The 25,120-nt window shown below is 39.7% G+C and overlaps 1 protein-coding gene and 1 long non-coding RNA gene across 9 annotated transcripts in view, besides 1 other annotated feature; one reads left to right on the top strand and one right to left on the bottom strand.

The window, feature by feature from the left end:
• AQP4 (aquaporin 4) lies at nucleotides 2,338–16,103 on the bottom strand. 8 transcript variants are annotated; one of them, NM_001364286.1, is made up of 5 exons: nucleotides 15,958–16,103; nucleotides 12,482–12,896; nucleotides 11,431–11,595; nucleotides 11,072–11,152; nucleotides 2,338–6,789 (listed from the first exon to the last, which is right to left on the bottom strand). In NM_001364286.1, exons 2-5 carry the CDS (start codon nucleotides 12,860–12,862, stop codon nucleotides 6,511–6,513), a joined length of 906 nt encoding a protein of 301 aa, NP_001351215.1. In that variant the 5' UTR covers nucleotides 12,863–12,896; nucleotides 15,958–16,103; the 3' UTR covers nucleotides 2,338–6,510. The 8 variants fall into 5 exon arrangements, with proteins under 8 accessions (NP_001351215.1, NP_001351216.1, XP_011524244.1 ...); NM_001650.7 differs by having other exon boundaries at nucleotides 2,343–6,789; nucleotides 15,958–16,007; XM_011525942.4 differs by having other exon boundaries at nucleotides 13,262–16,007.
• Nucleotides 13,256–13,756: an enhancer, noted in NCBI's record as "H3K4me1 hESC enhancer chr18:24442920-24443420 (GRCh37/hg19 assembly coordinates)". NCBI's record gives its function as "activates a minimal SCP1, AML or CMV promoter by ChIP-STARR-seq in naive H9 embryonic stem cells {active_cell/tissue: H9 hESC(naive)}" and the evidence as "EXISTENCE:reporter gene assay evidence [ECO:0000049][PMID:30033119]".
• The window catches only part of AQP4-AS1 (AQP4 antisense RNA 1), a 70,639-nt gene continuing 61,126 nt past the window's right edge, over nucleotides 15,608–25,120 (top strand). Inside the window, exon 1 of the long non-coding RNA NR_026908.1 lies at nucleotides 15,608–15,660. This is a non-coding gene — a long non-coding RNA (AQP4 antisense RNA 1). The remainder of the gene's footprint in view (nucleotides 15,661–25,120) is intronic.

Here is a 25,120-nt window from a genome sequence, read left to right on the forward strand (position 1 = left end):
GCCTCCCAAAGTGCTGGGATTACAGGCATGAGCCACCGTACCTGGCCTAGCTGCAGTTTCTTTACCTGAAAAATGGGAATAGTAGCAGGACCTACCTCGTAAGGCTTCTATGAGGAATAAGTAAACTTATGTAAAGCTTGAGTAAGTGCACAAAAATACAAAGTTAATGTTACTATTATTCATATTGAAATGTGGAAGATCTTCTCACTAACTTTGCAGTTATCCTCAACTGTCTTTTCTAAACTAAATGAAAAACGTTTCAAATAGTGGGATTTATAACATTTTCCTAAGGATAAAACAACCAAAAATTTCCTAAATTATCCAAAGTATCCTAAATTAAACCCATTGTAGCAGTTAACGCTATTCTCTTATTTGAGACCTTTTGTAAGGTCTGCAATACTTAGTCTAGCCCTGTAGTACTTACTTTATTGCCCTTTGGTGGCGTTGACATGAGGTGTTCCCATAGTATAGCTAGAACATGTTTTTATTTTTTGCCACTTAAAGGAAACATGGCTAATGGGAAATGAAGCTGATAGATGAATGGGAGAACTTTGTGTGATTCAGGGGAACTGTGTGGTGATTGGGATTAATTGGGATCCGTATTCCAGTTTTTGCTTTACTTTTAAATGTAATTTTGGGTAATTTACTTAATTTCCTTGACACTTGATTTCCTCATTTTTGGAAATGGGAATGATAATATTGCTTGCCCCACAATGAGCTTTGAATATTAATTAATTGAGAATAATATTTATAAATTCAAAATTCCCATATATATGCTCACAATTGATAATTATTCTAATGCATTCATTTCTCCTCTTCCCTTGATACCCTTGGCTGATGCTTTCATAATTCTATAACTCTTCTGTGAAAAGCAGTCCTTGAAAAGATAGAAGGAATACAGGCTATGATTTTCATTTGCTCATAGATTAGTATCTCCAGATTAGAGTGTTTCTGTCATCCACCCATCCATCCATCCATCATTTATCATCCATCTATCCACCTATCCATGATCCATCCATCCATCCCTCCATCATCCATCCATCCATCCATGCATCCATCTTGCATTTATTGAGCATCAGCCATGTGGTATGTCAAAAGGTTACAAACATCATAATAATTTCCCAGAGATTTCTGAACATGTGGAAATTGAAGAACTCAACTCAGCTTTTTAGAGTTCTTAATGTTGCCTTAAACCCAGAGATTGAAGAAGTGGAAAAATGAAAAAATAGTAAGAATTAATTCAGGTGACATTGTTTTGGACATTTTCCAAATGGGATAATTATCCAAAAGCAAGCCGATATTTATATCTGTGGGTTTCTATGCTTGTTAAAATACTTTCTTTTTGCTGAAGTACTCATTGAGCTAAATTTCATCTAACATCTGGCTATTGTATAAATATAGCAATGAAAACATGTCTAGTTGCCTACACATTAGGCATAAATTTTAGAAATCCAATTAGTGTTTTATTCTTTGTGTGCATTTCCCTTTTTCTTTAGTGTTGAGCTAATTTTGGGCTTCTACCTGAAACTATAAGAATTCAAATATTTAGCACACATCTATGCAGCAAAATCCAACTAGATTGAACATTTCCTAATGATTGTAAGATATTAATTAATTTCTTTCTTTATCCATGCAACAAGCAGTTATTGAGTGAAAAGTCAAGCCTCGTCTCAGTGTCAACGGCTGGAGGTGGGAGTGGGAAGATACAGAATACATAAGACACAATAAGGAGTTTAGAATCTAGTGGAGGAGATAGACACCTACACCAATGATTTCACTACAGTGTGACCAATGCTATAAGTGTGGTACTTATCCACCTGGCTCCTAAGGCATCACTCACCACTCATCTGATGGGTTGCACACTACATATATAATTGTCCTTAGTCTTCCACTGAGAGTGTATAACCTCTCAAAATTGAGAAGCCCCTCAAACCAAGAACCCAGGGAGTTAAACCAGTACTCATTGAGCCTACATTATCCATCTGGGTAGGCGGAATCTGCCAAATGGCCTGAGGATGGATCATTTATTTAGCAATACCAGTCGCAGTTGTTTGTGTCTTCACTTTTAGATTCACCATAATGATAGCTGATAACCAATGGTTTATTTTGCATAGATGCGGACATTTTGAATTAAGCCTGTACAAACACAATTTTCACTATCTCTATCAGGGCATCCCATGGTGTATACTCTGCAGGCTTTCAAAAAATGCATTTGATTTCATGGGCTTACCACCATTTCCTTTGGTGTTGATTATACTCAAATATCTAAACCTGCTGATCATTCTAAAGGATGAACTTAAGATCTAACTACAAATGAATTTTTAACTTCATCAAACATAATGTTTACCTTTTAAAACATCCAAATGTTTATTTTCACAAGCTTAGTAGTACAAGATGCAACATAATTCAAGAAAATCAACCACAGTGCTAATACTTTAATATATTATTCCAAATATTAGACGTTACAGTTTAAATCTTTTTAACATTAGCTCTAATGTTGGAATAACATTTAAGTTAATAAATAACTGTGAATATAACCATATGTTCAGTCTATTCTCCCCAGTTTATCCTAAATGACAATTTTATTGTGATTTGGGTCATAAAAGTGATAAATAATTGTTTATATGTTTTCATAAATTGCATGTTTATTTAATTAATCCTGAAGAGAACCTAGAAATACATTCCAATGGGTTACATAAATTAGACGTATTTTTTAGCTCTTCGATTTTTTTTAAACATGAGTGAGTCACACTGTAACTGCTCTTAAATTTAGTGTTCATTGCACATAACATTTTTTGAAATGTATTTTCACAGGCTATAGGTAGTCATTTGCAAAGATGGCCACAATTTTTGATCCTTGAATTAAATGTCTTTCATTTATTTCAGAGAATTATGAGTTTCAAAAGCTACTGCTCTTATGGGGCAATCTGTAGAGTACTAAACTCACAAAATTTGTGGTAACAAAAGAGAGTTTTGTTACATTACACTTTCCAAATAGTAACCACATCTTCCTACTAATTTTCATGTTAAAAACACTTTAGGAAAGACAGAATTACTTTTAGGTATAAAATGTTCTGAATTTGCAAATTCTATAGTGCTTATGAGAATTTATATTGGCTTTTATATTGTTTGATAAGGTTGTCTGTGCCCCCCAGACTTCCATCTTCAGTTGCCACAAAGGCAAATTCTCTGTGAATTGTTCGTAACGTGAGGTTGGTGTCAACATGCTGCAATCAGAGGCCTTCTAGGATTCATCTTACCATTTGAATTTACTGCTCTAGTTTGGAATTTTCCTGTCATTATCGAGTTTAAACCAATACATGTGTTGTCTGGTTTCATGGTCTGAGAACAGTATTCTGTGCTCTTTGGAATCAGATCTCTGATAAATCATATAGCTCAATTTCATCACATATGTTTTCCAAAGATTTCTAATCTCCTTGTAAAGTCTTCAATACTGAGCAGCAGCTCTAGCTAGCACCTATGAGCTGCATTAGGAAAAGGCTCAGATAATAAAAAGATAGTATAAGGGTTTAGGAAAAGCATCAATGGCAGAAATAAAGTGTAGGAATCTTAAATTTAGGCAACTACTTAAGTCCAGAAAATATTTCCTTCCAGTACAAAAGGTTAAGGCTCTTTGAAGAAAATGTTATCTTCAACAATGGAAACATACATTGAAATTCTGGTCCCCAAGTTTTTAAGAAAGCCTGAAAGCTTAAAATAAGACTCTTTCCCTTTTGTACACTTTTGACAAACTATGTGCGTTTTCAGTGTAGGGACCACCTTTCAATTTTAGGGTACTTGTACTCTTCCTTAGGGAAGAGACAGTTGGCATTGTTTCATGGCTGGGTATAATTCATTTATGTCTTCCCAGTTTTTCCTCTCTGATCTCTTCTCTGTGTATCTGTCAGCAGTGGTCTCCTGGGAGCAGCACTATGCACTTCATTAATAAGAAGGGATTAAAGAAAAAAGCCCCAGTCTCCTAATACACTTGGATAATTTGGTGCCATCCACAAGGCGATAGACCCCTGCTGCATAGATGTCATTAGAAAGGTACAATTTCATTACTTTTTACTGGCAGAGCCTTGAGTGAAATACAAAATATGTTGTCTCATATGTAGGGGCAAAAAAGTGCTAAAGCTTTCATTCATTTCATGCCCCTAAAAATAGTAGAATGCAAAAAATGTATTTTATGGTTTTCACATGTATATTGCCTTCCTTTAGTAGTCCTTGAAATCATACTTCCTATTAAATATTGAGCAAAATAAAGATTAAAAGAAAATTATTTATATTCTTAAATCTCAAATGAGATTTATATATTTTTATTAATTAACACACTTGTTTTGAATACATACTATGTGCCAGGCTCTCTGCTAGCTACTAGAAAACAAATTACAAAAACACCATTCACTTTTCTTTAACCGTAACTTATTGAATGCTATAATTGGAAGTGAGTGTAAAAGTGAGTGTATATGAAATAAACCATATGGCAGAATAAAAATGATTATAAGCCAGTATATTGTAAGTGTATTCAAAAAATCTGCTTAACACTTCCTTGTTAACCGAACTTATTTTTAAACTGACATGTTTGCTGACGGTTGATATTACCTTTTGAACTGAACCACCCTGATTTTAAGCCTCTAAGTGGTATATTGTGCAAACATTTGAAATGACGGTGCAAACCATCTTTGGGAGATTTGTACCCTAGTTTCTATAGGTGCCGTCCCAGCCAGGAAGTAACTATGTGTCACTGGCGCAGTGTGTGGTGTGGCCACGCCCCCTGAGAAAGGGGCCTGGGATTTAGGCACCTGCGGTATGCCAGTGGCACTCCCAGGCATAACACTGGTGTGACGACTCTCTGGGAATCTCACACATCACTCTTTCCTAGCACCGAAGAGAATCAGGTTTAATAGTGGTCCATTATCTCACTGCCACAGACACACAACTGCCATTAACGCTAAAAAGTGACACAGAGTTGGAACCATGCTTGAGAGAAGACAGCCCTTGATCATCAGTTATTTACAAGTCACTCCTTGCAGTGATAGGTTTCTGCTTTACTTCTAATAGCTTTTGTTTAGTGAAATTGACATTTGCACTTCTTTGTCTAAGTTAACGGCTAGACTAGACAGTTAAGATGACAGAAACTGGGGTTTCTGGAGAACATTCTAGTGACAAAAGGCAAAGCAGGACAGAAAAACCAATTATTTTGACAAGTAAGTGAGTCAGTAACAAAAATAGTTTAAAAATGTGTTGGGTTAGCTACAATATATCCAGAAATGAAAGATTGTTCGTCTAGTAAGCTTTGAATACAGAGTGATCTGATGTCCTCACCCTTTTATTCTGCAACCATGTTGTACCTTGTCTGTCATGCATTTTAATTCACTCAAATATCATTACACTTGCAGTAAAGATTATCAACAAATGTCACGAGAAGTGAGAGAGCAGAGATTGGGACAGGGCCTTTACACCTTCTAGAGTGAACACAGCTTAATAATCAACAAAAAGCCAGGACTCAACTAGCTAAGTTCTTGTTATCAAAAATATGTCTCAGCTAATGTTTAAATATAGATAACCAAAGTTACAAACAAAATCCCCAGTTTTGCCAATAAATTTTTTAAAAATAAGCAAAGTGGTAAAGGGGTTAAAAGCTTAGATCGTAAAACTGGTGTGGTGCATTTGAGGGTGTGCACTGAAAACAGATCAACCGTTTGATACCCGAATACAGATCTCCTTTTTGTTTGTGATTTTTGTATGATGATAACTTTGCCTCTGCCTCTACAAGATTTTACGAGTCTGCTTGTCTTGAATCTCAATAGGTGCCCTTATGATTTGGGAAGGATTTCTGAATATTCTTTTCAAATTTCTGGGCTTTAGTCCCACATTACCTTGGGCATTGAGGAGGAAGAAATACCATGAAATGAAGTTAGAATTGAAACTTGGGTATTTGTGATATAAATGGAAGGAAGTAACTGATGAGCAGTGACACTTGCTAATGCTCTTTTGCCAAGGTAGTCTATGCATAAGGGATTGCTCATAAAAGAACTTGTTATATTTTCTCTCTTGAATGTGCATGACTGTGACATACTGTATTTTGCCATTGTTAAACTCAGTTTAATAGAATAAATATTCAAATAAGAATTGACTATACCAATATTCCAGTAGAGAAGGAATAAGCTGATAGACGTGTCTTTGAGTTCTGTCAGGCAAGACTTAACCAAATCTTGACACACGGTTAAAATTGGTTGTTAATGAAAGGTAACTAGATAAAATAGGTATATATTTGCTTAAGAACATTTTAAAAATATTTCTTTTTTTAGATTTGGAATTCACAATAGGTTTCTTCCGTTCCTCCTTTGTAAATTATGAAATATTTATTGTTTAGACTGAGTAATATGACATGAAACAACAAACCTGCACATTTCTAATTTATAACAAATCTGTTTCCTTAATGGGTGGAAGGAAATCTGAGGACAGTTCTAAGGAGTCTTGTCTGCTTTCAGTGCGATCTTCTAGTCATACTGAAGACAATACCTCTCCAGATTGGTCTTTCCCCTTCTTCTCCTCTCCCCGGTCAACGTCAATCACATGCACCACTCCAGGTTTTAGAATCAGGTCATCCGTCTCTACCTGACTCCTGTTGTCCTCCACCTCCATGTAGCTTCCTTTTGTTTGCTGGGCAGCTTTGCTGAAGGCTTCTTTAAAACGACGTTTGAATTCAACATCTGGACAGAAGACATACTCATAAAGGCCACCAGCGAGGACAGCTCCTATGATGGGCCCAACCCAATATATCTAAGGAAAAGATGGAAGAGGATAGAGTGTAAGTAGAGAAAAGCTATTCCATTGAGCAGCTCATGAATGTAGAATCTAGCTGGGTTAAATTAAGAGTGTATTTGTGTCATGCATCAAAAAGAGGGGAATTGGAGAGGAAATAAGAAAACACACCAAAGCCTCATCAGAGATCCATAAATTATTAAACTGCATTTGAACAGAAAACAAAAAGAACTGTTTCATCTCCTATCCTCTTTTCATTAATTATGTTCTTTCCATCTTATGATAATCGTTAATGTAAAGATAGATCCTCTTTGGTGGTACTACAAATTAAGCGCACTAAGAATTCTTTAACTAAAATAAAAAAAAAATTTCTGGAGAGTCCTTCTCTTATTTTCTCAATATTGCCATTTTACACTGGTTTCCTGCACAATCATGATCATAACACAGTTTTTATCTTTTGGGGATTCCGTTATTCAGGTAAGCATGATCAAAACCAACCCAGCTCCACCACTTAGCAGAGTTATGAGTGCTTGTATCAGTTACGTAACTTTCCAAGTCTTAATTTCCTCATCTGTAAAGTGGGGATTATAATAATACAAACCTCACGGGGTAAAAGGATTAAATGCAACAATACTTGTAAAGTACTTGATAGTTTTTAGCTCGTAGTAATCTGCTCCATTCCAGGCTTCCAAAATTTGGTGATTTGATTTAAATGAAAACCTCGTGTTCATTACTGTGCAGATAGCTTTCATCTATGCGGTTCTCACGATGGCTTGGTGAAAAAATATGAGTTTATGGCTAGTTGAGAAGTAGCAATTCCATAGGATTTCAATAAATGGAAATTATTATTATTATTATTATTATTATTAATTTTGAGACGGAGTCTTGCTCTGTCACCTAGGCTGGAGTGCAGTGGGCGATCGCCACTCACTGCAAGCTCTGCCTCCCGGGTTCACGCCATTCTCCTGCCTCAGCCTCCTGAGTAGCTGGGACTACAGGTGCCCGCCACCACGCCTGGCTAATTTTTTGTATTTTTAGTAGAGATGGGGTTTCACTGTGTTAGCCAGGATGGTCTCAATCTCCTGACCTCGTGATCCACCTGCCTCAGCCTCCCAAAGTGCTGGGATTACAGGTGTGAGCCACCGTGCCCAGCCGGAAATTATTATTACATATTAGCTATGCCCCTAGAATAAAGTTTTGAGTTTGAATGAAGTGCAGACATTTGCTTTAGAGCACATGTGTGCTGTAGAATATTAGACATTTATTTAACAGACGCACTTGGGCAACAGAAACCCTGCTTGTTGAGCACTGTCCCCGGGCCAGCCGTACTTGGCACTTTTCTTGTATAATCTCATTTAATTCTAACAATAACCAATGAGATAAATATTATTATTCTTCCCATTTTATGAAAAGAAGAGTGACACTCTGAGAGGGTAATAAGCTTGCTTAAGATTTTGTGCTTATCAAATGGTTGAGCTGAGATTTCAGACCTGTCTGACTTCAAACCTCTCATTTGAGGCTGGGCACAGTGGCTCACACCTGTAATCCCAGCACTTTAAGAGGCCAAGGTGGGTGGATTGCTTGAGCCCAGGAGTTCGATTCAGCCTGAGCAACATGGTGAAACCCTGTCTCTACAAAATACAAAAAAAAATTAGCTGGGCTTGGTGGTGTGCACCTGTAGTCCCAGCTACTTGGGAGGCTGAGATAGGAGGATCACTTGAGCCCAGGGAGGTCTCGGCTGCAGTGAGCCATGATCGTGACACTCTACTCCAGCCTGGGCAACAGAGTAAGACCCTGTCTCAAAAAAAAGAAAAAAACAAACAAACAAAATGAAAACCTCTCTTTTGAAACACTGTTCCAAACACTGCAGTATACTGTTTTCCACTGTACTACACACTCATTTGAAAAAAAACATGATGGATGCTTTTTGTTTAAAACACCCTCTGCAAATTAATCTCAGTTTGCATCCTCATTGTAAGATTTAAATAAAATTCAAAATTTAAGCTGAGGCTGAAGACATAACATTTACGGGGAAACTGTTGCTAGTGTGGCTGGAAGAATCAAGTTCCTCTCTTGAACATGAAAAAACCCATATGAGCCTTTATCTTCTCTATGCCCTTTTAAAGGAGAAATGAGAGCCCTCCTCTAAATGTCTTTGCTCTTTGTTAGTAAGGTCTCATTAGACATGTACTATTCCACAGGCTACAAATCCCACAAGGGAGACTAGAACAGCAAAATAATTACTACCCTTTCCAAAACATCTGTGAATAAGATACCCAGCTGCATGTTCTCAAAAATAAACAAATCTCAGTGTCAAGTTGCTATTTCAAAATGAAGTCATATGTACTTTAAAGTAAAGAATCTTTATTGCTAAAAATCTAGAAAATGTGTAAAAGTATAAAGAAAACTAAAATAATATCATTACACTATACAAAAAACCCAATTAATATTTTAATGTTATTCCTAATCTTTCTACCTACAAATATACTTTAAATTAGTTCTAAATTTCATACAACCATTGCTATTTTTAGTAGAATTAAGATTGGTATAATATAACATGGGGCAACTTTTAGTTTAATCAACAAGCTAAGAATGTTCCTACTATTTAAATCTTAACTAGTTTACTGCAACTGACAAGTAATTAGTAAAATATATTTTTTCATCTACATTTTCAAGTGCTTATAAATTTAACTAAAAGTTGTTAATGACAAAATAGTTTCAATTTAATATGTTGAACTGAAAGTTGTATTTTCATTGTAAGATCAGGGCTGGGCACTGTGGCTCACGCCTGTAATCCCAGCACTTTGGGAGGCTGAGGCAGGTGGATCACCTAAGGTCAGGAGTTCGAGACTAGCCTGGCCAACATGGTGAAACCCTGTCTCTATGAAAAAATACAAAAATTAGCTGAGTGTGGTGGCATGCACCTGTAATCCCAGCTACTCGGGAGGCTGAGGTTGGAGAATCTCTTCAACCCAGGAGAAGGAGGTTGCAGCAAGCCGAGATCATGCCACTGCACTCCAGCCTGGGCAACAGAGCAAGACTCCATCTCAAAAAGAAGAAAACAAAATCATATACTACTCACTAAAAATTTCCATTTCTGTTAATGTGGTAACAGTTTTTGAGACATAAATGGAGGTATCAGTGACAAAATGACTAATCTCATGGATGGCATTTTTGGCTAAGTCTTGGTTTGAACGCTGACTCTTATTCTGTTATTTAATGCTGTAGATTACTTTTAAAGATTTGGTATACTTTTCTTAGAAGTGAATGCACATAGCAGCGGTGCATTTTCTTGTCATTTGCAGTGTACACCATAGATGAATGGCTGTGACTAGGTTGGTAATCACTGTCTGAATAAACACAAGGGGCATATTCTGTTATATTCATGAATTTTTTAAAGTTGTAAGTGACATTTGCAATATATAAATTATAATAAAAGCTAGCGCTCTTTGAAGCTGGCTTACAGGTCTCATATTTTTATTGGCTATTGTAAGTTAGCATGTTGGTGGCCTTCACAACTGCTGCATTACTTATTTAATTTTAAAGGATTTAAATTCCTTTGCTGTGAGAAACAACTGAAACAAAATTAATTATAATATTTTAAAATGGACACTGCTATTCTCTGGAAGCACTGCCACTACATTAATAAATATTTATTTATAATAGTTTAGGTTTGAGACTGAAAAGTGAGCCTTTTCTGTGAGTCATTTATTTTTCCGGTAACAGTTATGGTGATAATAACATAAACCTTTGCACTATTTATTCGACACCATCTGCAGTTCAAATACTTGCAACTTACATACTATTAATTGAGTTCATGCATTTGTAAACAAAAAAAGGGTAAATATCTTTGCTATGGGCAGCGCTTTTAAGTATTTCATTCTTTCTCTTTTTTTTGCAATTTTTTTCCATTATAGCTGGGAAGACTTTACTTTCAATTATTTAAACACCATATTCACTACACCATGCTGACTTTAACTTGTTCCACATAGGCAACCTCTATATACAGTGTATTCTGCTGCAATCTGTTAGATACAGTGTCTAAAATAGTGCTTCAAAAAAGGAAAAGACTATTATTGGAGGCCTAGAACCTTCAGTTAGAGATGTTTTACATCTCTTATCTTTTTACAGCAGATCTGTGCTATTCTTTCCCTAGTCTTTATGAAAGATGTAATAAAGTGAGGGTCAAGGTTGGAGAAATGCAAGAGAAAGTAGTAGGCAAAATAATGAAAAATAAAAGAGCCCCACAGGTAATTGTCCTCAACTGTAGGAAGATGGGAACTATCAATATGAGGGTTACCCAATGGTTTTCCCAATTTCCCATGATAACTGCAGGTCCAAAGGATCGGGCGGGATTCATGCTGGCACCAGTATAATTGATCTATAGGAAACAAGAAAACAACTTCAGACATTGCTGAAACAGGGCTACTAGCAAGTATCATTCATTGCAATTTGCTGTCATTTGTCACTTAGAGGAACCTCAAGATATTAGCAGCTATATCAACATTCTCATTGAGCAGTTGGAAAAATTATAACCTAAAATGGACAGTCATGGCTGGATACTAAAGAGCTACTGCTGTAAAACACAACATCTTCAGGCCAGCTAGAGTGAGGATAAATGAGGTGGGATTGATTATTTAAATGGACTTGGAAACTTACTGCAAATAAATGTCCAATTGCAACAGAAAATCCAATTGCTAAAGCTATTGAGCCAGTGACATCAGTCCGTTTGGAATCACAGCTGGCAAAGATAGTAAACACCAATTGAAATGTGATTATCAACTCAACCAGGAGACCATGACCAGCGGTAAGATTTCCATGAACCTAGAGAAAGAAAAATATTCCATCAGAATTGAAGCAAGAGTATTTTCGATGACAATGTATTAATATCATTGTGAAAGGCACATTTTATCTGTGTAAAAAGTAAAGGTAAGTCTTCTACCCCACCTTCAACTGAGAATTTCCTTCTCTCACCCCCCAAAAAGAAGGAATAAATTTATATTCATTTTGGGTCATCACAGATGACTGTGATTACTCTTACAACGACCAAACAGGAGTTTGTGCTGAATGTCCTTTTCTACAAAGGAAGCAAAATGTGCCACTGCAGCACTTAACTCGTAAAAGAATTTCTTGAGAGCCTTGTGATTTTATAAGGCAATGATTAAATCCATTAATTAGGTTTAAATTAATTAATATATATTTCAATTAAAATTTAAGCCATGTGTGTTTTTTTTTAATCAGCCCTGGTGCTGAGTTAACAATTGATACTCCTAATCAGCTAAGAACAAAACTAGGATCGGATGTCTATTTTTTTAAGCATAACCCTTTATGTAGATCATTGTACATCTTATGAACATGACAAGAAAATAGTTTTTTTCTGCTAGTGAACAAATAACTGTAAGGAAAATGCATTAAGCTAAATATAAAGTCAATATAGTAATTGGAATGGGAGAAGGGGAGGAAAAAACCAACACAATTTTCGGGCCACCTAGATTTTGTTATTTTTAAGGCACTCAAGAGCAAACAATGATTTCTTACAGATATACCTAAATACTGCCAGAATCAGTTTTCACACTATTAAGAATCATCAAAAATTCCCTAGGAGTAAATTAGCTATTTTAGGGATGTGCCTCATGCCACCAAGGCATTATTTAGCAAAGAGTTTGCAAGAAGCTTGGAGTCCTAGTTTGAAAATAGCTAAAGATGCTACCATGGTGACTCCCAGGCCTCCCACCACACTGGGAGGTGTGACCAGATAGAGGATTCCTGCTCCAATGATGGCCCCCAGGCACTGGGCTGCGATGTAGAAGACAGACTTGGCGATGCTGATCTTCCTGGTGCACACCATGGCCACAGTCACTGCAGGGTTGATGTGGCCACCGCTGATATGGCCAAAGCACTGCACCATGGTTGCAATGCTGAGTCCAAAGCAAAGGGAGATGAGAACCATGTCGACCGGTAAAGGCTTTTCTGTTCCACCCCAGTTGATGGTGGATCCCAGGCTGAGGAGAACAAAAATAAGCATGGCCAGAAATTCCGCTGTGACTGCTTTCCAGAAAGCTTGAGTCCAGACCCCTTTGAAAGCCACCATGATGTTCTCTCTGGTACACAAAGGTCCACACTTACTGAAAAGAGAAACAAATCAGCATCAGAAGCCACTACACCCAGGTTTATGAATTTAGGTGAAGGGAACAAGGCCTGCCATCTTCGGGTACTGTGGGCAGGGGCTGCCAGGCGTGATTTGCACACCAAGAAAGAATGCTTCTGCTAAAGCTCCTTCATGAATAGTCAAGAGACTGTTATTCTAGTCTCCTTTCATTTAATATTCAAAGATCATCCAGTTTCACGGAAAATTATCCAAACTGTCCCTAGAAAGGAAAAATGTCTAAATCAAATTCCTTAAAATATTAAGAATAAAATATATTTACCTTGTACTTAATTCCCTTAGAGCAAGTTTTTAAGTTTCGAGTACATTTTATATGCTACTTACATTTCGAACATAAAGCATTAAAACAAGGTGTGCGTGGGGGGGGGGGGTCGTCTTTTCTAGCTTTGCATTTGATTGCTTTGAAATGGCATTCTGAAAATCTCCCCCTCCCCCCAGACTCTGGATTAGGGGGAAGCCTTCTAGGAAACCAGGGTGCTGAAGGCTGTCTTTTGAGAAAGTGAACTCATTGAGGGGAGAGGAGCTTCTGGTGACTAGCAAGGGCGATGGGAACAGGCAGGGCCTCAGCTGGGACAGCGACACTCCCTCCCTCTCCTTTGCGCCAGGAACGAGCAGGCTGCCAGCGGGAGGAGTCCGGGAGCTGAGCCTGCCCAAGGGACACGCGCACCGCCCAGATCTGGGAGCGCGGCACGGGGACGTGTAAACCTCCGTCCCCAGGGAGCCTGGAGCACCTCTCAGAGGGCGGAGCAGCGGCCATTCCCGGCCCGTGGCAGGCTCCCGGGCGGCGGCCAGGTGCACACGCAGAAGCGGCCCCGCGAGCTCGCCCGCCTGCCCGCCGGCCCGGTGCATCCTGGCCGCTGGAGGTGGGGAGAGATGGGAGTGGGGGATGCTTTTAGGGGAGGAAGGACAGCCTCTCCTCGTGCCCGACCCTCTCTCACCCCTTGACCCTGACCGTACAATGCAGATAAACCTGCCAAAGGGAGCCTGGAGGCTGGGGTGTGCCAGCAATGCCCCGGTACCTTTCCTGCCTTCATGGTGCAGAGCTCGGGAAGTCAGGAAAAGCGGGTGTGGTTAGGGAAACTGTGGGCCCCTGAGCAGAAGGCTCTATGGAAAACGGCTTTTCTCTACGGTCTTTTTGATGGCTTTCTGTTACATGGGCCTATAGGACAGTGTGTCTCACCTTGTGGAGCTTCTCTGGGGAGGGTGGTGGGCAGGGAGTCTGGGAGAGGGAGGACGCCTTCTCCTCCCGTCTATATCCCTCTTGCTGTCATTAGATCTTTGGAGCAGAGAAGGGGTGGTTTGACGATATTGATGCCAACTGCTCATTCTGGCAGGAAATGGCTAGGATTCCCCTTTTGGGGGGGGGGGGCAATTACCCCAGTTACCCTATCATCTAAGACTTTTGCCCTTGTCCTTTGCCTGTGATAGTCATGAGAGCCAAGAAGTATGGAGAGTATTTACCAGAGAATCTAATTGCAGAGGACCACGTAAGGGGTTAGGCAAGAAAGCCAAGTACTTTAAGAGATTAGTATTATTGTGGCTTTCCCTTTGACAAATTGCGGGGCCCTCATTTCCCCATGTCACTGAATGTTCCCGGGAACCTGCTTTCTGCGTGGGTAGTGAGGAAATGCAGTGCCAAAAAGGGTGAGGGGAATTTCCAGCTCAGCCTAGCCCTTAGTTTGCTATGGGGCTTTGCTTTAGAGGTGGAGAGAGAAAAACCCTTTCTTGCCCAGGCCCGGGTGGCAGGATAAAGGAAGAGCTGGCTCCACAGGGGGGTGGCCAGCCACATCCCACGCATCCCCTGCCCCAGTGAAGCGAATCTCAGAAGTATGAAAAACCCCAGGTGGGATGACAACGACATCATACTCTCTAGAGGAAAAGAATGTAAAGAGACAAAAACGATGGTTGCAATGGGGCAGGGAGGGCACCCTGGAGGAGACACTAAAAATATTCCCAAAGACGGTAAACTCAGAAAAGTCACATATTGAAGAAGTTAGGAGAGTCACTTCTGAACTCACCGGCAGCCCAGGGCTGTAGCCGGGATGGCAAAGGGGGCAAAATGCGATCATAGGTGCTGTCGTTTGTGGTCAGGGTTAGGGGAGAAGGAGGAGGACAAAACAGTAGGCTAAGGAAGCTAGGTGGGCAGGAAACGTCCTTTTCAGCCCCGCAGGAGACACCAGAAGAGGTGGGACCCAGAAAAGGCCAGCCCCGCTGCTCACCCCCTTCACCTCTCACTTCTGCCATTTCCGGAGTTCTCTCCCTGCTTGGCCTGTCATGCACCTGTTTACCTCTCCAGAGGTAGTTGCTCTTTCAGCTTCAAATATTCATCAACCAGAGAAATTTAAAACAGTGCAAAACACCAACACAAAACATAAACATGCTCTTTAAGAATGTTTTTAGCTTTTTTTTTTTTTTAAATCCACAAAAATCTGATCTTCTTCCAAGGCAGATGGACCAGCCTCACTTGGCTGTGAACCGTGAAGTTTGCTGGCAGCATATACATATCTCTGGCCTTATGAGGGCTCACCCTAGCGTCACCCATAGCACCCTGCTTTTATTGTCAGTGTTCCCTTATATGTTCACAGTCACTGGAAATGATCAACACAATTAGATTTGCTTCTTTTGCCCCAGAACAAAGCGGGTTTGTTGATGTACTGAATCGGACACATTACTTTCTAGCTGAACACTCAGCTTCATCCACTCCAGGACAGCTGAGCGTCTGGGTGAGTAATTTTTCCGAAGAAATGTACTATAGCTAGATTCACCTCCATAGGGTAATTTTCCTGGGCTTTTGCAGATCTGAAACATATGGAGGATTTGGCTAAAAAGCATCCCTTTTCTTCTACCTTCTCTATGCCTCTCTTCTGAAAATGCCCAGTACTCAGATCTAAAAGAACCACCCACCTGCCCTATAGCTGCCTTCCAGATTCTGCCTAAGAAGGCACAAACATCTATAATAAAAGAGACAGTTTCATCTTTTGGCCCTAAGCGTTGTTCCCTTAAGGCAAAGAAGGACTTACCCCCACCGCCTTGCTGTGGGTCTGTCACTCATGCCTTCCCCAGCCAGAGTGCAGCTCTCATTGCCTGCCCCGCAGCTCCCTGTGTGCTGGGAGTCAGATTACGGCCACTTGTCTGATTGGGTTTTTGGAGTGTTAGGGGTGGAAAGATTCTGCACCATGTGGCAATCGCTAAGTTATATTTGAACTTGAAGTAGCTTTTCTGTACCTGATCACTGTAGACACAGGGCATTTCAGGAATGCAAAAACATTTACTTAATTTTTTTTTTTTTGAGACAGTAATTTTTGAAAATGAGGATTTCCTTAAATCTTTATTTGAATTCTTTCTACCATGAAGAATTGTTCAGAATTTGTCTTGTTTGGTTATATGTTGTAGTTGAAATTGGGCAATTATTAGAAAATGAATTTGTATAATCCAGCAGTTAACATGAATTTAGATAGAGACTTCAGTGCATTTAGTTTTTAGCCAATGAATTCTGTTTGAAGTTTTTGATCTGAGAAGAAGCATTATAAGAACAATATATAACTGCAGCTCCATTTATAGCACAGGCAGCACTGATTTGGACAATAAAAATAAGGAAACATAGGAAATACAGGAAAAAAGACTGCTCTAGGGTGCTCACCTGACTGTTACATTAATAATCTGGGGATAAGAAGTAGCAAACTTAAAAAATATCAAAGTTGGATGGGGACGAAATTATGGGGAACTGTAGGTAAATTTAACCTCTGGAAACTTAGGGACAGGACTGATTTTATAATTTACTGGTCCCAGTGCAAAATGAATGCAGGACACCTTGGTAAAACACTATTTAAATTTCAAGATTGCGACAGCAGAGCATAAATAAAGGCTGGGTGCTCCTAAAGGCAGGACCTTGTGCAGCTGCGCAGGCTGCATGCTTATGAAGACGTCCCTGCCGAAGGAGTTTGGTGAACTCTAGAAGGGTCTAACCATTAGCTACCTGCATCACCATCTCATTATTATTTTTTCTTTAAACAGATCTTAGGTGCATGGGATTGGAATAATCAGAATTCCTGATTTATGACACTCTGTCATCACTCGTGCATGTATGGCCCTCTTATTTTCTAATAGTTAATTATAATGGCTTTTAAATAATGTAATGAACATCTATGAACCCACCACTCAACCCAACATCTAGAACAATGATAATAACTCACATTACCTACGGATGCCTCCCTTTTCCCACTTTATATTTCAGATTGGATTATTTTTTTCCAGAATGAAGTATGACAAGAAAGAAATACATGAGAGAAGAAAGACTGTTATACTTTTAAATCCCAGTTACAGTTTTTTTGTTTTGTTTTCATTTGCGTACTTGAGACATGGGAATGGGTGAAGAGCTCTCATTAGAAAGAGGAATTCAAAATTTGAGTGTGACTTTCAGAGGAGCACTTTATTACTGTTTCAAGCATTCTCAGCTAACCAAGATTGAATTTAGATTCTTAAGAATATGGTTGCACACTTATTATTGTACATCAGTGGTTTCTACCTTTAATATGCTCCCTGAAAGTCAGAATAAATTCTGATGAGAGGGGCAGGGAGAATTTATATGAAGCCACAGAGAACACTTAAAACATTTCATATTGATTCTTAAAGCTGTTTACCATTTGGATTTTAGAATGAGATTTTTAAAAGGTGCAAAATGTTTGTTACAAATTGGAAAACTGTGAGTTTCTAGGCAGATGTGCTAAATGTCATTACTCTGACCCTAAGACATTTGAGTCAGAAGTATTTTGAGGGCTGTGAAGCTAAGGCACAATGTAGCCATGTTTAGGGGCTTCCTTGTGAATGAGTACGGTGGGCAGATCCTCAGGAATCTACAGAGTGGGGCTCTTTAGGGCTACCGGTCTGGTCGGTGGGTGGACATTTTCTAGGTCCACTCTTTACAGGTTGTCCTAGGCTTATTAGCATTCTCTGCACAGCCTCGGCAGTTGCAGTTACCATTTTACAAAGTGCCAGCAAAACTTGGTTACCACGGTTTCTCAGCCTCTTTCCCTGTTTTCTGGCTGGCTGATGCTTTCCAGGGCAGTTCCTAAGGGATGACTGTTCCCATCAAGGAAGGGGTCACCCTCATTGGCTCCAACCCCTACACTTATTAGTACTCTCAGCAGAGTAGCTTAAAATTGACCAGGGATTAACTCTTCACCTGCCAGAGGTAGTTTTTCTTATTAAGTATTGCTAATTAACCTTTTTGTACTTGAGCTGCTACTACTGATCTTCCTGTGATACTGTCAGCTCTATGCAATAATCAGCTACTTATCTGGCTTTTCTTTGGACTAGGGGCAGAAATTTCCCACACGATTGTCTGTGGCTTTGTATGCAGAATGCGATAATGAAGGAAAGCAGCTATAATGTGCTTGTAGTGGTGGTGGACCACCAGGAGGTGGGAAGCTCTGGTGAACATGAGTAATACCTTCTACATTGAAATGTTTTGATGTGGACCTGGATCCAAGTGAGAGTTGGAATCTAACTGCCCCCCACCCCCCACACCACTGGTATGTTTAAAAGGGCGCAATTCATTAAAAAATTGAATAACAATTTATTATATTTTCTTGACTTTCTCATTGTATAGTGTTACGAACTTTTGGGGGAGGATAGTTACATGGCATATTGATTTAAAATTGGTCTTTATGCCAGACCACCTTGTGAATCTTTAGTTCAATAGCCTTGCGAAGTTGTGGGTCAGTAACACATGAGGAACCAGAGAGAAGCGTAAGTGAAAATGACAAGTACTTAGCAAACACTAGCTAATTGACACGCTTTTTTTGTTGTTGTTTCTGAATTTTTAATCTACTATGCCATACTATTTTCCTTGGGTGCTGTTGTATATCTTTGGGATTTGTGGACTCCTTCTCCCATCCTTGCCCTCAGAACTTTTAATATTTCTTCATGTGTTCAGAGATTGAAAACTGAAACAAAAGCACTAAACATGCCAGCAATGCCTCAGTACCAGACGGGAAGTGTCTCCAGGCTGGTAGGGGCAGATTCAATCGCAACTCATAAATCTTACTTTGCTTTTCATGAATCTCAGCATCATGAATTCCCCCAGAGCACTTATATATCAGTATGTTCATTAAAAACAAACAAATAAACAGAACAACAACAGCAGCAGCAGCCGCAACCACAACCATCACGACGAAGGGCTTAATGGGGCTTTGTTCCTTTTTCAAGGAAGCTTTACCTTATGGTTATAATTCAGGATGGCTTCCAGAAATAGAGTTCACCACCGAAAGAGTGAAATAAAAATAATGATCAAATACAGCAAGGAATCAGAGTGTTTAACTTAGCTTCCTGCTCCTTAGTGAGGTAAATTGGAGAAAACCTATCTTTCCAATGGTTGTTGAACCTTTCACAAACACCATAAATCTCTCTCTGTGCCCCACGCCCCACAGATCCAGGTTTTTATGTTTGGTGTAGCAGGCACATTTTTCTTGATTCAGATCCAGGCGGACTGCTTTGGTGGGGTAGTTGTACTCTGCTGACATTTAAGGCAGGAATTCCCTGGGAAAATAATCAAGAGATTATTTTGGAGCTGCTGGAAAAGCTCCAAAGGGTTTAGGGTTCCCCTCACTAGGCAAATAAGGAGAGAGAACGAGAGGGAGGGAAAGAGAAAACAGAAGGACTTTATTGAGTGACTGTATTTCATCTGAAGCTGGTACAAAAAACCAGAAATGTGGTTGGATGACTGGATACTTTTCTTACACCTTATCTCTTACCCAGCTAATATGACAGCTCAGAGTCTGGTTGGGCATTTAAAAAAACAGCTCAGACGTCCATAGTAGACAATCAGTTCTCCGGGAAGCAAAGGACTTCGGGATTTAATGGGTTGGACAAAATGTTTGAAATGGTTAACAGTCTAAGTGTAGCCTGTACTAGTAATTGTTTTAGAATTTAAATTAAATTTGAATATATTAAAAGCTAAGCCAACATTTTGGTGACCACTCTCACTCAGCAACCTCTGTCATCTACACAGTGATCATTACAGAAGGGCTCAGAGTACCCATATTTTTAGCAGACTGACAAAGATGTTTCCAGCTTCAAGGACAGAAAAGGTGTTTAAAATTCTGTACACATGGGGTATGACTGGCAGAGTAGGCCAAAAAACTAGGTGGTTAAAAAAAATGCTTTCAGAATAATGCTAGAAACAGAACACTTTTTAAAGAAGCAGAAGTGGCCATAATCTGTGACCACAAAAAGAAATGACTGATCTCAACAGTCAAGTTATTTAGGAATGGCCTTCGATGACCTTTCTAATAATTCAGATGCTTTCTTTTTTTCCTTCCTAAGTGATCATACATCCTTCTCTTTAACCTCTGTGCTTTTTTTTTTTTTTTTTCACATTCATACAATCAGGAAAGCACATCTGAAATTCACAGGGACTTAGAAGTGTCAAGTCTTGGCATTACTGGTTTTACCTTTCCTGGGTGTTCTTATCTCTTGCCTCACTTTGGCCTGTATTTTTGCTGCAGGGAGTATGCTGCGACCACACCTTGTCAGGCCCCACCTTGGAGCCAACTTAGGTGATTCTTTTATCCTCAATCCCTTTCCCTTCTCTCACTGCCACAGGATTTTCTGATTCTTCTTCAAACACTCCTCAGTATTTATCTCCTTCATGAAATCTGCTCTTCGCAAACTTGCTTGGTTCTAGTCACTTAAAAAACCCATAACAACCGGAAGCCTATGTGATACTCTACAGTTATAACTAGGTAATATATTGACTCATTCACTGGTGTTTTGATGCTACCTTATCTCTCTTTTAAAATATAAGCTGTAGTTATGGGAATATATGTCCTGTGAAATTTCTTACTGTGTTGGTGTTGATGATGATGATGATAAAGTGATGGTAATGATTTTGTTGATAATACCATTGTGTAGTGGAAGGAGAAGGGTAAGATTTGGCAGTCTTGGCTCGATCATTTACCTTCTGTTGGCTGTAGACCCTTGACCTCTTTGAGCTCTGTTTTCATCATCTGAAATGGAATAGATGATTATCTGTTCTGTGTTTTTGCAAATTTATGGGAAATCTATGATGCCCTCTGTGATGGTTTGGCCTGTTTGACCCTTCTAAATCTCATGTTGAAATTTGATCCCCAGTGTTGGAGATGGGGCCTGGTGGGAGGTGTTTGTGTCATTGGGGTGGATCCCTAATGAATGGCTTGGTGCCATTCTTGCAGGAGTAACTGAATTCTCACTTAGTTCCCATGAGAACTGGTTGTTGAAAAAAACCTGGCATCTCTTCCTCCCTCTCTTGCTTCCTCCTCTCACATGCCAGCTCTGCTTCCCCCTCCGCCATGAGTGGAATCTTCCTGAAGCCCTCACCAGAAGCAGATGCTGGTGCCATACTCCTTATACAGCCTGCAGAGCTGTGAGCCAAATAGACCTCTTTTCTTTTTGAATTGCCCAGACTCAGTTACTTCTTTATAATAATACAAAAATTGACCAAGGTGTCCTTCTCACCTCATTCTGGTTTGAGTCCAACTTTTATATGCTTCCATAATAGTTTGGGCTCCCGAATTCCATTGTAGAGTTGTGTCTAGCATGCTGGAATCACTTGTTTACTTTTATCTCCATCACTGGCCTGTGATGGCAACGGGAGTAGGGAACACTCTCTTAGTCATCTTACTAATTAGTCACATTGTAAAGATTAAAAAGAATTGTGGAGTAAACAAGTGAATATGGCTCAAATAAGGCAGTATCAGCAGGAATGCTTTGCAAACAGTGTTAATAAATGTGAGTAAGGATGATGCTGAGGCTCATGATTTTAAAAAAGGCATTCAAGCCGGGTGTGGCAGCTCATACTTCGAATGCCAGTGCTTTGGGAGGTTGAGGCAGGAGTATCACTTCAGGCCAAGAGTTCAAGACAGCCTGGGCAACATAGAGAGACCCGTCTTTACAGACAATTTTTTAAAAATTAGGCATGATAGTATGCACCTGTGGTCCCAGCCACTGGGGGGCTGAGGTGGGAGGATCGCTTGAGCCCAAGAGTTTGGAGCTGCAGTGAGCTATGATTGCACCACTGCATTCCAATCTGGGTGACAGAGTGAGACACTGCTGCTAAAAAATAAATAAGTAAATAAAAAAGGCATTTGCTTATGAGTTAAGAAACTTATCCATGTCAAACCTTGAAAAAAATCATGCATTCTTAATCTTATTATCCAAATTACAGAATGAAATAATAAATCTTTTCTAGCATAGGTAAGGATCCATGTTAATGGATGCATATTGCTTTTAAAATAAGAAGTTAGGTAACTGTAGAGTATAAACATTAACGATAAAATTTCATAAACTTCAAATGTATATAGATAATTCCATGGCTACATTTTAGAGTTTAAGGCAGAAGTAATACATTTTGAAACTTTACTTTGTTTTATGGATTAATAAAAAATATCTTGCAAATTTTATTAAAAAATAAGAAGCTGATTAGTATATCATCTCCTCATTGGCTTATTAACTCTTTGTGGTTGATAATAAATGACATTACTGAGTACTGCTGCGAATAACACCGTGGAGAATCAGTAACTTGGTGAAATTATGGTTTCTAAAGTAAAGGTGCTCCTCAGTGTCACCCTGCAATCCTATATGGGTTCAGAGTCATCTGTCTTTCTCATTCTCCAGTCAGAACCCTAGCTGAGACAGAAAATGACTCTGGCTTCCCTAAGCAAAGGAAAGTTTATTGAAAGTATATTGAGGCTCAAAGAATTGTGGGGAGGATGGAGAACCAGTTTGCAAGTGGCAACACCCCAGGTAGCTCTGGAAGCTGGAGGCAGGACCTGCACATCAGCTGCTGGGATGGATGGCCTTCCAGCCTTCCTCCTTTTCTGGCATTGCTGCCTTCAGAAGCAAAATTGCAGAAGTGAGCATTTGATACTGGGTCAGGGAGAGAGATGACTTCCATAGAGGGAGAGAGTCATCAGGCATTATCCTCCTCCCAAGGCCACACTCAGTGGGTGAGGGGTAATAATGATGGCAGCTCTTTTGTACGATCTCATTTAATCCTTAACACAACCCTTTGAAGGAGACACTATTGCTGTCCCTGTTTACAGATAAGGAGACTGAGGCAGAGAGAGATGACAGACTCTGCTTGAAGGTCACACTGCCAGTGTACAGTGAAGCTGGATTCGAACTGTGGCAATCAGACTCCAGAGTTCTAGTTTTTTATCACTTTAGCATGCTGCCTCTTCAAGAGGACTCTGGGAGGCAACTCAGCAGGAGGCTTGATACAGGCAGCTGAAAAATAGCAAATGCCCCTTTGCACCATTCTTCCACCTGTCTCCCTTTACCCCAGTTCTGCATAGAACACATGCCTCATTCTTCACTGGGAAAGTAGAGGCCTTCCACCCAAGCACTCTGTCCACTGCTCTCTTTCACCTACACACATGGCCTCTAACATTTCTGTAGCCAAAAGAAAATTTTGTATTTTTTCTCTTCAAATCAAATGCCATCTCCGTTCATCCAGCTACCCCACGTCAGAAAGTGGAGAGTCATTCCTGACTTCTTCTCTCAACCCACACTCCCAATCAATCACAGGATTCTGTCACTCTCACCTCGTAAATATCTCTTGCATTCTTCTCCTCTTTTTACCCCATTGTCACCTTCTTAGGTCAAACCTTAATGATTTACATTTGGATTATTAGCCTCCTAGAGAGTCTCCCTCCCATAGCCCTGTACCCCTCTAACCCATCATTGCCTCAGGAATAAACCTCATTTATTTATTTATTTATTTTAATATTTTTATTTTGACACAGAGTCTCACTCTGTCACCCAGGCTGGAGTGCAGTGGCGCGACCTCGGCTCAATGCAACCTCCACTTCCTGGTTTCAAGCGACTCTCCTGCCTCAGCCTCCTGAGTAGCTGGGATTACAGGCATGCACCACAATGCCCAGCTATTTTTTGTGTGTGTGTGTGTATTTTTAGTAGAGATAGAGTTTCGCCATGTTGGCCAGGCTGATCTTAAACTCCTGGCCTCAAGCGATCCGCCTGCCCCAGCCTCCCAAACTGCTGGAGAGTAAGCTTTCTAACACACAACCTGAAACTGATTTTGCAACCCTCTGGCTTAAAATCCTTCAAAGGTGCTGCTTGTGTTCCAGGTAGATCTCAAACTGCTGACCCTTGCCATTTAATCATTGGCTGCAGGTTCTCCCCACACTTGGCTCCCACCATCCTGACACCCACTTTTCTTTCTAGTTACACAGGACTGTGTTGGTCAGCTCAGGCTGCCGTAACAATGTACCATAGACTGGGGGGCTTGAACAACAGACATTTATTTTCTCACAGGAGACTGGATATCAAGGGTAATTTGGTGACTTTGGTTTTTCCTGGGGCCTCCCTTGCTTGCAGGGGATGCCTTCTTGCCATGCCCTCACATGTCCTTTTCTCTGTGTGTGCACATCCCTGGTATCTCTCTGTATGTCCTGATGAGTTCTTTTTGACATCTGAACTTGGAGGAGGACATAATGCAGTGCATAGCAGGGACCTGTCCAACAGAAGTCCTAGGGCTTCTTACACATTCTTTCTTCCCTTCCCTGACTAGGTAACTTATATCTCATCCTTTAAAATTCAATTTAAGTTTCACTTTTTCTGTAAAACCTTTCCTGTTCCTCTAATTTTATTTAGATGTCATTTCTCTTTATTTCTCCCACAACACCCTTCCAAAATAGCTTCATACCTCCCTATTTCCAAGCATATAAATATCAGATCCCCTTCATGTTGCTCCCCAAAAGACATGAGTTGCCCCAGTAAGCAGGTATAAGAATCAAAGGCCTTTTTCACCAGTAATGGATGACTCACTAGGAATTGTACACAGGGCTGCTTTAGTTATAATTAAGGGTTGTGTTATAATTACACTGCTCCATAATTTATGGTTGTACTTTGGTCTTCCTTGAAAATAGAGTAAGTTTGTAGAAAAATTGGCTAATTTCAGAATCATTTGATAAAATCTTTTACCAAACACAGAATCCTATACTGTTTAACTGGTTAGAGTAAAAAAATAAATTTTTATTTCAAATGGGAGAGACTTCTTGAGAAACAATTTAATAAACCAGTAAAGTACTGACATAATGAACTATGATTTGTATTGATATCTGAGAGTGATTGGTACAATAGAACATTGTAACAAAGTCTGAATGGTTTCATAGACATACTCAGTAT

This window comes from Homo sapiens, chromosome 18, assembly GCF_000001405.40.
Source record: "Homo sapiens chromosome 18, GRCh38.p14 Primary Assembly".
Taxonomy (NCBI): Eukaryota; Metazoa; Chordata; class Mammalia; order Primates; family Hominidae; genus Homo; species Homo sapiens.

Bases quoted from the DNA above. Each gene is read 5' to 3' on its own strand.
- AQP4 (NM_001650.7), bottom strand. From the start codon at position 15,989: ATGAGTGACAGACCCACAGCAAGGCGGTGGGG. The intron at 12,897-15,957 runs GTAAGTCCTTCT...TTCTCTTTTCAG, and splicing joins CCCACAGCAAGGCGGTGGGG to TAAGTGTGGACCTTTGTGTA. The intron at 6,790-11,071 runs GTAACCCTCATA...TCTTTTCCTTAG, and splicing joins GAAATTGGGAAAACCATTGG to ATATATTGGGTTGGGCCCAT.